Genomic DNA, 12,197 nt, shown 5'->3' with positions numbered 1-12,197 from the left:
AGTTAATACTTACAGAATTCTTAGAATGATACCAGCACACTCTAAGTCTTCAGTAAATGTTAATGGGCAATATTGATTACTCTGTCACTTGAAGCACTTTACATTTATCTCATTTAATTTCTTATAACAGCCCTTTGTGGTGGGTGCTGCTTTTTTTTCTCTTCAATAGATCAACATATGGGGGCTCTGAGAAGAGAAGCAGCTTACCCTAAAGTCACAGAGCTAGTAAATGGTGGAGTCTGACTTGAGATCCAAGAAGGGAGCTTCTGGGATCTTTGGCTCTAAGCTACAATGTTATTCTAGGGGAATGTACTTTCTTATGAGAGAAAAGGACAATAAATAAGTTAATTGAATTTTCGGATTGTCGTCAGTGGAGCTGAAATAGGGCAACATGGTATTAATTAGCTACTCTGGACATAGAATTGAGCTTGGCAAGCAGAGCAGGCCAGAGTGGCTGGAAGGGGTTGGGGAGCGGAACTGCTGCAAGGTGAGCCGAGACAGGTGGGCTGGGGCCAGATCACATGTGGCTTTGAGGGAACCTGTCAGGTCATTAGACTTCATTGTTAGTTTCTCAGCTTGGTACTGCTGACACTTAGGGCTGGAGAATTCTTTGTTGCAGGGACTATTGTGTACATCTTAGATTTCAGTAGTCCCGCATCCCTCCTTTGGGCTACTTGTGACAATCAAAAATGCCTCTAGACATTGCTATGTGATCCCTGTGGGTGGGGGGAATGGTTAAAGTGCTCTGACAGAGAACTACTGGGTATAATGGGAAGTCACTGGGGGCTTTTAAGCAGGGGAAGGACAAGAACAGATTTATGTCTATAAAAGGTGGCTCTGGGTTGGGCATGGTGGCTCACACCTGTAATCCTAGCAGTTTGGGAGGCTGAGACGGGTGGATCGCTTGAGGCCAGGAGTTTGAGACCAGCCTGGCTAACATGGCAAAACCCTGTCTCTACTAAAAATACAAAAATTAGCTGGGCGTGGTGATGCACGCCTGTAATCTCTGCTACTTGGGAGGCTGAGGCACGAGAATTGCTTGAACGCAGGAAGCGAAAGTTGCAATGAGCCCAGATCGGGCCACTGCACTCCAGCCTGGGCAGCAGAGTGAGACTCTGGAGGAAAAAAAAAAAATGGTGGCTGTGGCTGCTCTGCAGGGAATGTCTATAATGGGGGTAAAAGTGGAAGTGGGTGACGTGGGGAGTTAGCTGTTGCATTGGTCCAGAGAGAAAGGACGGTGGCTTGGACTGGGTGGAAGCATTGGGAGCGATACATAGTGGTTGGATTCATCTCCAAGGTGTTCCCTCTATGGGACTTTAAAACATCTTAACCTTCAAAATCATCAAGCATTGATTGAGGTCCACAAGATATCCACCCCTGGGGTGACACATTCTAATGTATTTTTGCTTTACAGATGAATGAAATCGAAGTATGTCCAGAATGTTATCTAGCTGCTTGCCAAAAACGAGATAACTGGTTTTGTGAGCCTTGTGTAAGTTGGATTTACTTTGCTTATTTCATTTACTGAACCCTGTGCCTTGGATGACTACCCTGAGACAGCTTTTTCCAGGTGGCTTATTAGATGAAACTTTGGATGGAGTTTTAAGATAATTTTTTGCTGATAAAATTATGGCAGAAGGAAAGTAATCCAGGTAGGATAAACCTCTTAGGCTGAAAGTTCATGTGCCAGAGATAGCATCATGGCTTCCTGGGTTGATTAGCCTGGGCAGACTGCAAGGTGCAGCATAAAAGAGAGCTCATCAGAGATGTGGGATGCAGCAAAGCTTTTCAGATAATAAGATGAGCTTAAATCAGTGTGGATTTACAAATCATGTTGGTTCTATTTTAAGAGGTTTGAAAATACTTCCCTGGATTAACTCCATAGTCCCTCCAAAACATGATTCTTGGGGGAAATAAAGTCACCCTAGTTTCCCTGTGGATCTGCCTTCTCCAAGCTGGGGTTCTGCAGAGAGAAGTACATTGTTGGGCTGCACTGGTGTGTGTGTTGGGGGTGGGGTTGGTGGGTTGGAGTGGGTTTGGAGGCAAGATTAGGCAAGGAAAGTTGAGAAAATATACTTTGCATCTCTTCGTGCTTTTGGAGATTAACACCGGAATAGCTAAGCCTTCAATAAAGAATAAAGGTAGCAAAATACTGCCCCTTATTAGATGCTAGGTATGATGCACATTTAATCCAAAAACAGAAGGTATTGGTGTCATTGTCTCTGTGTATGTTGCACAGAAAGGTGAAATGTCTTGCTCGTGCCTGCCCAGATAATAATGGTACAGCTAGAATCCAACCCTGGTTTTCTCATCTTTCTTTTTTTTGTTTTTTTTTTTTTGAGATGGAGTTTCGATCTGTCGCCCTGGCTGGAGTGCAGTGGCGTGATTTGACTCACTGCAACCTCCACCTCCTGCGTTCAAGTGATTCTCCTGCCTCAGCCTCTTGAGTAACTGGGACTACAGGCGTGTGCCACCACGCCTGGTTAATGTTTCTGTTTTTAGTAGAGATGGGATTTCACCATGTTGGCCAGGCTGGTCTCGAACTCCTGACCTCAGGTGATCCACCCGCATTGGCTTTCCAAAGTGCTGGGATTACAGGCGTGAGCCACCATGCCTGGACTTCATTCAGCTTTTGATTTCACCATTTAACTCCATTTGCAGTTTTGTCCAGGTGTCTTGGCCACATACCTTTTAGGGAATACCACACAGGCCGACCCTGCTTGAAACTCTTTTTCCACTCATGGCCTGTGTCCCACAGTCCTGCTTCATCCTCACATACCAAACTTTAGTGAGTATCTTGCTGTCAAATATGTACAAACTCTGGATCTTGTTTTTCTTTTCCTAGAGCAATCCACATCCTTTGGTCTGGGCCAAACTGAAGGGGTTTCCATTCTGGCCTGCAAAAGCTCTAAGGGATAAAGACGGGCAGGTCGATGCCCGATTCTTTGGACAACATGACAGGTGGGAGTTAATAACAGGCTTGGAACATGTAGCTTTCACTGAACTTTGATACTGTTATGAGATAAGAAAAGAAGTGGAGGCTGCAGCTATTATTCTCATTATTGTCATGATACCAACCATTGATCTTGTTGTTGAAATAAATTTCCTGTGGTATGTTAAGCTTGGTAATGGCGTGGGCTACAGTTTTCTCAGGTGTGTTAGAAAATCATCTTACTTTACTGGGTCTGTTGATGAAACCAACATTGGAATGGGTTCTGTGGCTGTTTGAAGTGCTGCTGTTCTTTTTTGTTTTGGTTTGATTTTTTGGGAGGGGGTTTCTGAAGTAAATTAAACCTCCATGGAAACTGCTTTCCAAATCATTCTTTCAAAGAATAGAAGTAGTTTCCTAGATTGCCAGTAAATGAATCTCTTATCATCATGCTGAGTAGTTCTCTCCTGTTCCCTTTTCTCTGAAGCTACAGTGGGAAGTTATAAGGGGTTGCTGTTTTGACAGGTGTGAGCCCTCCCTCCCAGCCTTCCTGCCCTCCCCTTTCCCTCCGTACACGGCAGAGTGAATTATTCCAGCTAATAGCAGTTCCCTGTAGAGCAGAGCCTGCTGTGTGCTTGAGAACAACAGGTAGGCAGAGATGAGCAGCGGTTAATATCTTAGTTCTCTTTTATCAAGTTATGATTAAGTAAGGCAAAGACCCTTTTGAAGCCCTACCAATCAGTTTGAGAAAGCGTGTTAGTATGTAGCGAGACTACTTAAAATATATATACTACAAATTATGTACACACACAGAGTGTCCAGAAGCTGAAAATTGGTTTCCCCTGTTAAATTTTGCTAGTCGTCTTGCAGACCAAAAGAGTGAATTCCCAAGTCATTTGCAAACTCATTTACTAGGAATCCCAATGGTCCACTGTCAGAAGACAAAATGGAAATTATTGAGATGGTGCTGGATTTGGTAGGAAGTATTGCACCTTGACTTTAATTCCTGTATTCCTTCATTCAAAGAAATACATATTTGATGACTGCTGCGTGCCAGCCTGTGTAGTGGAAGCTGGTGATTCAAATGTTTCTGCCCATGTGAAGGCTGACATCCTAGCGGGGAAGAAGGATGATACACAAGTGAACTAATAGGCAAGATAATCTCAGGTCAGGAGGTAGTGGTGGGGGCCTGGTGTGAAGATCTGGGATGAGGGACCAGGAAGAGCAGAGGTCGGGAGGGGAAGGGCTGAGGCTGAGAGGGTTCAGGAAATGCTGGGAGAATAGTGGGGTTTAAACAGGGTCGGGGAGGAGAGGATGCTCACAGCTGGAGTCAGAGGGGTAGGCAGGAGTTTGTTTTTTATTTGAAGAGCAGGAGGAATTGGTGACAGGCTGTACATCCCTCCTCTTCATCAGAGCATGACAAATGTGAACCATCTTGATGATTTGAGATTCTTACTCTATAGGTTGATACAGTAATACAGTATGAGTAGATATACTTAGGACACAGGCAGGATGGGAAAAAATAATACCTACCCCCTTGCACCCAATATTCCCAGACCCTTATGGTTGATGGCTGTAGTCTCTCAGCTGTGACTGCTCTGCAGGGACCTCCATCTCTCACCCGTCAGACAGCGACTGAAGGTGGCTTACAGAGCATGAAGGACGGCGTGTGAGTTGGCCAGCTCTGTGTGCAGAAGCTGTTTCCCAAAACCATTTGTGTGTTTAGGTCTTGGTTCTGGATGAGAGCTGTCGTGGAAGCTGGCCCCCTTCTGTTTGTGAAAAAGAAAGCAGCATGGGTCTGATGGTCACCAGTTTCGAAGCCCCTCTCAGCACCTGCTTTAAGGGAGTGCACCGTGTTGTTGGGCTTGTTTTGGGAGAGGGGATCCCCTGGAGGGAGTTGTTCAGGACCTTCCACAGTGGTAGAGAAACAACTTTGGAGGTCTTGGGATGTTTTAGTAGGCTTTGGGCAGGGAGTCTCTGACCACCATTCTTTTTTTTTTTTTTTTTTTGGAGCAGAGTCTTGGTTTGTCACCTAGGCTGGTGTGTGCAGTGGCGAGCTCTCGGCTCATTGCAGCCTTCTCTTCCCGGATTCAGCCATTCTCCTGCCTCAGCCTCCCAAGTAGCTGGGTCTACAGGCATGTGCCACTACGCCCAACTAATTTTTTGTATTTTCAGTAGAGATGGGGTTTTGCCATGTTGCCCAGGCTGGTCTTGAACTCCTGGATTCAACCGATCCATCTGCCTTGGCCTCCCAGAGTGCTGGGATTACAGGCGTAAGCCACTGTGCCTGGCCTGGTTTTGTTTTATAGATGCACAGTTATGTAAAAATATAGGAAATATTTTATTAAATGCCTGCAGAGTTAAAAAAAAAAAAAAGCGGACACCAACCAATTGCCTTTTATGTACTGGGCAGTGTTTTAAGTGCTTTTTTGTAGAAGCTGCTTTTATGTCTATTTTATCAATAAGAAAACTTAAGGTCAGAGAGTGCCTAGGGTCACATAGCTAGGGAGAAGCCACCGTGGGGTTAGATGTGAGATAATGTGAAACTAGATATTGTCCCCCGCAGAGACTCTATTTTGTCAAGCAAATCTAATTTCGCTTGAAATACTTCCTGGGCTTGTTTTATTATTTATTTATTTATTTAAGAGGGGGGTCTTGCTCTGTCACCCAGGCTTGTTTTATTTATTTATTTATTTGAGGCGGGGTCTCGCTTTGTTGCCCAGGCTGGAGTGCAGTGGCTCATTCAAGCAATTCTCCCACCTCTGCCTCCTGAGTAGCTGGTATTACAGGGGCGTGCCACCACATCCGGCTAATTTTTCCATTTTTAGTAGAGATGGGGTTTCACCGTGTTGGCCAGACTGGTCTCAAGCTCCTGACCTCACGTGATCCTCCTGCCTCTGCCTCCCCAAGTGCTGGGATTATAGGTGTGAGTCACCATGCCCAGCCTTGGACTTGTTTGAAAGAAAAGAGACTCTTTTCCTTCCCTGCCAAGCAATTTCATGGAAAATAGTTGGGGGAAGGGAACAGTGAGCGCCTTAGATACCGGACAGAAGTGTGTGGGTGAGGTGGGTGTGGAGCAGGTCAGGGGGGCGAGGTTATGATACCAGGACCAACTGGTGATAAGCTCCTGGTGGCCCTGCCTCTTGATTCTCCAGAGAAGGACTCACTCTCCTTTTTCTCGGTGACAGAGCTGAGGCTAGCTCAGGAAGGGGGAGTCATTTGCCCTAGGACAGCACTGGAGACCCTGATGCCTTCTCAGATCTGTCCTGTCTAGTAGTCCTGATCTGTGCCCGCTCACTTTGAACGCAGAATCTCACCGTGAGGCAAACTCTTACCTTGAGAGCATCTGGCTTCTGTTCTGCTCTGCCCCTCTTGGTGGAGATATGGTTCTTCAGGTCTCAGGAGAAAGACAGCAGTCAGAATGGATGAGAAGCTGGTGATTTCCAGCCCTCTGATAGAGCAGATCGATATTTTTGGGGTGTTTAGTTTTAGTTTGTGTTACGATCTGGTGTCACCGAGACTTGCAAACAATCCGCCTGTATTGTGAATTCGGTCCCAGGGATGTGCTTTATTTCTCCTGGGTTGTTTTCTCTTAGATGCCAACTGTTGAAATGGGGGTAAAATGTAACATAAGAAGTCTATTTTGTCTTCTTCTCTTTAAAATATTGGAAAACGTGGCAGTGTTGGGTCCAGATTCCTACATGGTTGCTTTGGATAGCAACTGAGTAGATACTGCTTTCTCCCTTTCCACCAGACGTGAGTTTTCTGCTTCTGCAAAGTCCCCTTTGCTCCCCACTGCTTTCTACCGGGCTTCAGTTTGTGGTCTGTGAAATCTAAAAGGCCACCTTGGAGGTTGGGTGCAGCGGCTCACACCTATAATCCCAGCTCTTGGGGAGGCCAAGGTGGAAGGATTGCTTGAGTTCAGGAGTTCAAGACCATCCTGGGTAATGTAGCGAGACCCCATCTCTACAAAAGTATACAAAAGTTAAAAAATTATCTGGGTGTGTTGTGGCGCGTGCCTGTACTTCCACTACTTGGGAGGCTGATCTGGGAGGATTCCTTGAGTCCAGGAGTTTGAGGCTGTAGTGAGCCTTGATCATACTTCTGCTCTCTGGCTTGGGTGACAGAGGGAAACCTTGTCTCTTAAAAAAACAAGCAAAAAAGACTGGGCACGGTGGCTAACACCTATAATCCCAGCACTTTGGGAGGCTGAGGTGGGTGGATCACGAGGTCAAGAGTTCAAGACCAGCCTGGCTAACATATAGTGAAACACCGTCTCTACTAAAAATACAAAAATTAGCTGGGCGTGGTGGCACACACCTGCAGTTCTGGCTACTTGGGAAGCTGAGGCAGGAGAATTGCTTGAACCCAGGAGACGGAGGTTGCAGTGAGCTGAGATCATGCCACTGTGCTCTAGCCTGGGCAATAGAGCGAGACTGTCTCAAATAAATAAATAAATAAATAAATAAATAAATAAATAAAATGAATTAATTAAACAAACAAAAAATCCCCCACAAAAGCCTTCCTTGGAAAGCTTATTCTCGCCAGTTTTTCCAGCCAGAAACTGGGTTGAGGCCAGCAGATCATACATGGTAGCCAAGTTATTTCTGGGATGTCCCTGTATCAGCTGCGTGGTCACCCGCAGCAGCGGTTGTGGTGTTTGCACCTCCCCCGGGGGCCACTGGCTCTGGTTCCAGAAAAGCTGCTGCTGGCATTGTTTGTTCTGCAAAAACATGCTGTCATGGGTCTTTGCAGAGCAAAATTGGAATGTGGGATATGGATGTTAGGAAGATGGAACTGGCCTGGGATGGGAGGTGGAAAGTGCACGCCTGGAGGCGAATGGGCTCCTTTTTCAGTGATTTTCTGTGTGAATTATCTTACATTCAAAAACATGTACCTCCTTTTAGGGATGCAGTATTCCAAAGTTTCCTTCTGTTCCTATTTCAAATGGCAATGGGAAAAGGAAGCTTTTTATGTCTGAGTGTAACCTGAGGAATAAGTCTCTTTTCAGAGGTGTTGTCAGATGCAGTGGCTGATTTATTTTTCTCTACTAAGAGAAAACCAAAGAGGATTGTTTCTTTAGTGGCTCACAATGACTAAGTCTGTTGCACTTTTAAATGTTTTCGCCGAAGTTTTGTTGTTCATGTTCTGTTATGGTAGAACATGCTTGTTAAATGGATCATTAATTAATCCTTCAAACCAAGTTTTTTTTTTTTTTTTTTTAATAGAATAAGAATCTTGGCAAACATGCTTGGCTAATTTGGTTCACATCAAGAAAAAAGCAATCTTGGAAATTACTGAAGTTGACTTAAACTCTCTTTATCTTTTGCCCTTCTAGGGCCTGGGTTCCAATAAATAATTGCTACCTCATGTCTAAAGAAATTCCTTTTTCTGTGAAAAAGACTAAGAGCATCTTCAACAGTGCCATGCAAGAGATGGAGGTTTACGTGGAGAACATCCGCAGGAAGTTTGGGGTTTTTAATTACTCTCCATTTAGGACACCCTACACACCCAACAGCCAGTATCAAATGCTGCTCGATCCCACCAACCCCAGCGCCGGCACTGCCAAGATAGACAAGCAGGAGAAGGTCAAGCTCAACTTTGACATGACGGCATCCCCCAAGATCCTGATGAGCAAGCCTGTGCTGAGTGGGGGCACAGGCCGCCGGATTTCCTTGTCGGATATGCCGCGCTCCCCCATGAGCACAAACTCTTCTGTGCACACGGGCTCCGACGTGGAGCAGGATGCTGAGAAGAAGGCCACGTCGAGCCACTTCAGTGCGAGCGAGGAGTCCATGGACTTCCTGGATAAGAGCACAGGTCAGCTCCGTGCGGGGGAGCGGGGAGGAGGCCCCTTGGACACGGGGGTTTCCCATGGGTGCACACTTGGTGGGCCCAAGCAGGTGAGCATCAAGCAATCGTGGGGAACTGTAGGGGGCCACAGAGCAGATTTTCAAGAAGTCACCAGTGGAGTTCTTGCTGCTAGTAACCCAGAAATGAGAAAAGTGTCCCCAAAAGGCCACCTGGAGGTTATACCTAGAAGTAGATGGAGATGGCCAGAAATCTTGTGGAGTTCTGTTCAGATGTCGCTGCATTTTGGATTATTGACTTTCCATAACACAAATAATTTTGTTTTAGTTGAAATTGTATTTTTCTGTCAAAACCCTACATTCATATTAAACAGTGCAAATCTTAGAGAAACACATATGATAAAAAATAATACTTGACCAGGCGCCGTGGCTCATGCCTGTAGTCCCAGCACTTTGGGAGGGCAAGGCAGTCAGATTGCTTTAGCTTGGGAGTTCCAGACCAACCTGGGCAACATGGCAAAAACCTTGTCTCTACCAAAAATACAAAAATTAGCTGGTCGTGGTGGCGTGTGTCTATAGTCCTAGCTACTCTGGGACTATAGTTGAGGTGGGAGGATTGCCGGAGCCTGGGAGGTTGAGGCTGCAGTGAGCTATGATTGCGCTGTTGTATTCCAGCCTGGGCAAAGTGTGACCCCTTGTGAGACCCTGTCTCAAAAAACAAAAACAAAAAAAGGTAAAAAACAATAATAGTACTCTGTCTTCCCAGTGTGATCCCATTCCCTTAAAGGTCATATCCTTTAATAGTTGTGTTGTGTTTTTTTTTTTTTTTGGAGACATAGTCTCGCTCTGTCACCCAGACTGGAGTGCAGTGGCACCATCTCAGCTCACTGCAACCTCCACCTCCTGGGTTCAAGTGATTGTCGTTCCTCAGCCTCCCGAGTAGCTGGGATTACAGGTGCGCGCACTACTATGTCCAGCTAATTTTTGTATTTTTAGTAGAGACAGGGTTTCACCATGTTGGCCTGGCTGGTCTCGAACTCCTGACTTCAAGTGATCCACCCGCCTTGGGCTCCCAAAGTGCTGGGATTACAGGTGTGAGCCACTGGGCCTGGCCCAAAGTCTGAGTTTTTAAGTAAAACCTCCAATTCTTAAATGTCAGGTTTTTAAGTAAAATCTCCAATTATTAAATGTCAGTTTAAGATGTCTTGGAAGATTTTCTAGAATGAATAAAGCAGGTTGGAGTACCAGCTTTAGGCTTCTGGCCTAAAGCCTTGGACAGCCTTTCACACTCGCTTCCTTCCTTGGTCTCTCTCTCTCTCCCTCCCTCTCTCCCTCACTCCCTTCACACAGGAATTCTTTAAGGAGCAAGCATCAGTTCTTCAGGATACCATGAATGTCCCCAAGAGTTAAAATAATGAGGATTTAGTTGTGAACTCAAATAATTCTACTGACTTTGCTTGTGTTGTTTCTTGGGAAATTTTTTTTCTTTTTTCTTTTCCTTGGGTTATTTTCAAGAACTGCTTCTAGCTGCTCCCCAGATGGTGGTAGGAGGGGTAGAGAGAGCCTGTGGCTTTTGGTTCTGTAAAATAAAGGCTGCAGTCTATATCTTTCTCTAGTTCTGATTCATAGCTGTGTGGTCCTAGACACTCATGGTTGAGTCATAGAGCTTTGTTTTGGAATTGACATAATTTGTGTTGACACAGTTTCAGAAAAGTCTTCCTTTTTACCCCCTTGTTTCTGACCAGAGTCCTTAAAAGCTTACTTTGTTTCATGACACGGTTCCATTTAAGCCAAGTTCACAAAACATGGTACTTAATTACACAATCCTTCGGCACATTAATTCCCATAAAGAGCATGCTTTTCAGGAAATGTTTAAAATTTTAACCTTGGCAGCGACTTTGTGAATTAGTGTTGCCTGAACTTTCATTGCCATGGTTTTCTGCCGTATTTTATTACATACTTAAATATGAAAATTGTAATGCAGCTTTGTCCTAAGCTAAACACAATGTATAGGCTCGTGTGTTTAAATTGCTTGTTGTGGCTTTTCCTAATATATGTGAAATTAATACATAACTAGTAAAATGAAACATGGCATATATATGACCATTGGTTCTCCTGCACCACATTTCAAAAAATTCAGTTTTATAGGAATATAAGAACAGGGATAATGTGTTTAATTTAGCTTCTGTCTTCCCTTGGGAGGTACAAAAGGAGAAAGATAAATGACATCAGACTTCCTGGAAAAATATACCTCATTCTTTGAGTGCTTTTTAGGTGAGAAGTTAGTTGAATCCCCCATTTGAGTAGACTTTAAAGTCCCTTTCCTAAAATATAATCTCCTTGCTGGTATGTGCTTAGGTCATTTTACTAATCATGAATTAGCCAATGTGTAGTGTAGGAAGAGAGAGTGATATTGAAAATTATTTTACTCTTACAAATTGCCCCCTTTTCTGTCAGGGGCTAGATAGTATGTATTTTAGGCTTTTTGGGTCTTTTTTCCAACTCTGCAACTATTTAGTCATTGTTGCAGTAACGTAGCCACAAGCTGCTGTAGTCCCAGCTACTGAGGAGGCTGAGCTGGGAGGATCAATTAAGCCTAGGAGTTTGAGGCCACAATGACCTGTGATTGTGCCACTGCACTCCAGCCTGGACAATAGAGTGAGACCCTAGCTCAATAAACAGCTAGCTAGATAGAAGAAAATAGAGCAGCCGTAGACAGTTAAGACTTTTTTAATGGACACCGGAATTTATTTACTTATTTAAATTTTTATATTTTTTGAGATGAAGTCTTGCTCTGTTGCCCAGGCTAGAGCGCAGTGCCACGATCTCGGCTCACTGCAACCTCCACCTCCTGGGTTCAAGTAATCCTCCCACCTCAGCCTCCTGAGTAGCTGGAATTACAGGCATGCGCTACCATGCCCAGATGTTCTTTGTATTTTTAGTAGAGACAGGGTTTCACCATGTTGGCCAGGCTGGTCTGAAACTCCTGACCTCAGGTAATCCACCCGCCTCAGTCTCCCGAGGTGTCCAGACACTGGAATTTAAATTTCATATAAGTTGCATGTTTCATGAGCTATTAATTCTTTTCCCCCCAACCATTAAAAAAATGTTAAAATACCTTTCTTCGCTTGCAGGCCCCTCAGGAACAGGTGATATGCCCAATTTGACCCTTGAGCTATAGTTTGCCAACCACTATTACAGACTAAGAGGATTAGAAGAAACTGAGTCATTTTACAGAAGGCAAATTGAGAGCCATGCAGAGTGTAAGGGAGGTGTGAAAGTCCCCACAGCCAGATTCTGCATCCATACCTGTTTCCTTTCTCTGCACCCTACTGCCATCTGCTGTTAGCAGTGATAATAGCATTTAGTGGAGGGAGATGGGAAATTTGTATTAAAATGCTTCCACAGTCAGGATAATATAATTGAGATAAGACAGTAGTTCACCCAAAATCGTGTAA

At 44.7% G+C, this 12,197-nt stretch overlaps 1 protein-coding gene across 19 annotated transcripts in view, besides 3 other annotated features; it reads left to right on the top strand.

Annotated features, from left to right (window-relative positions):
- Positions 1–12,197, top strand: part of ZMYND8 (zinc finger MYND-type containing 8) — a 147,486-nt gene that overhangs the window by 71,637 nt on the left and 63,652 nt on the right. For all 19 annotated transcript variants that reach the window (NM_001281781.3, NM_001281784.3, NM_001281771.3 and 16 more), the window contains 3 exons: positions 1,415–1,492; positions 2,846–2,961; positions 8,268–8,749. In NM_001281781.3, the coding sequence (NP_001268710.1) occupies positions 1,415–1,492; positions 2,846–2,961; positions 8,268–8,749 (676 nt within the window). The remainder of the gene's footprint in view (positions 1–1,414; positions 1,493–2,845; positions 2,962–8,267; positions 8,750–12,197) is intronic.
- Positions 3,304–3,598: a silencer, noted in NCBI's record as "tiled region #15539; HepG2 Repressive non-DNase unmatched - State 17:Gen3'". NCBI's record gives its function as "represses a minimal TATA promoter and a strong SV40 promoter by Sharpr-MPRA in HepG2 cells {active_cell/tissue: HepG2}" and the evidence as "EXISTENCE:reporter gene assay evidence [ECO:0000049][PMID:27701403]".
- Positions 8,218–8,718: an enhancer, noted in NCBI's record as "H3K4me1 hESC enhancer chr20:45905089-45905589 (GRCh37/hg19 assembly coordinates)". NCBI's record gives its function as "activates a minimal SCP1, AML or CMV promoter by ChIP-STARR-seq in primed H9 embryonic stem cells {active_cell/tissue: H9 hESC(primed)}" and the evidence as "EXISTENCE:reporter gene assay evidence [ECO:0000049][PMID:30033119]".
- Positions 8,719–9,219: an enhancer, noted in NCBI's record as "H3K4me1 hESC enhancer chr20:45904588-45905088 (GRCh37/hg19 assembly coordinates)". NCBI's record gives its function as "activates a minimal SCP1, AML or CMV promoter by ChIP-STARR-seq in primed H9 embryonic stem cells {active_cell/tissue: H9 hESC(primed)}" and the evidence as "EXISTENCE:reporter gene assay evidence [ECO:0000049][PMID:30033119]".

This window comes from Homo sapiens, chromosome 20 (genome assembly GCF_000001405.40).
Source record: "Homo sapiens chromosome 20, GRCh38.p14 Primary Assembly".
Classification (NCBI taxonomy): Eukaryota; Metazoa; Chordata; class Mammalia; order Primates; family Hominidae; genus Homo; species Homo sapiens.
The sequence above is the reverse complement of the archived record's forward strand: the minus strand, read 5'-3'. Positions and strand labels throughout refer to the sequence as shown.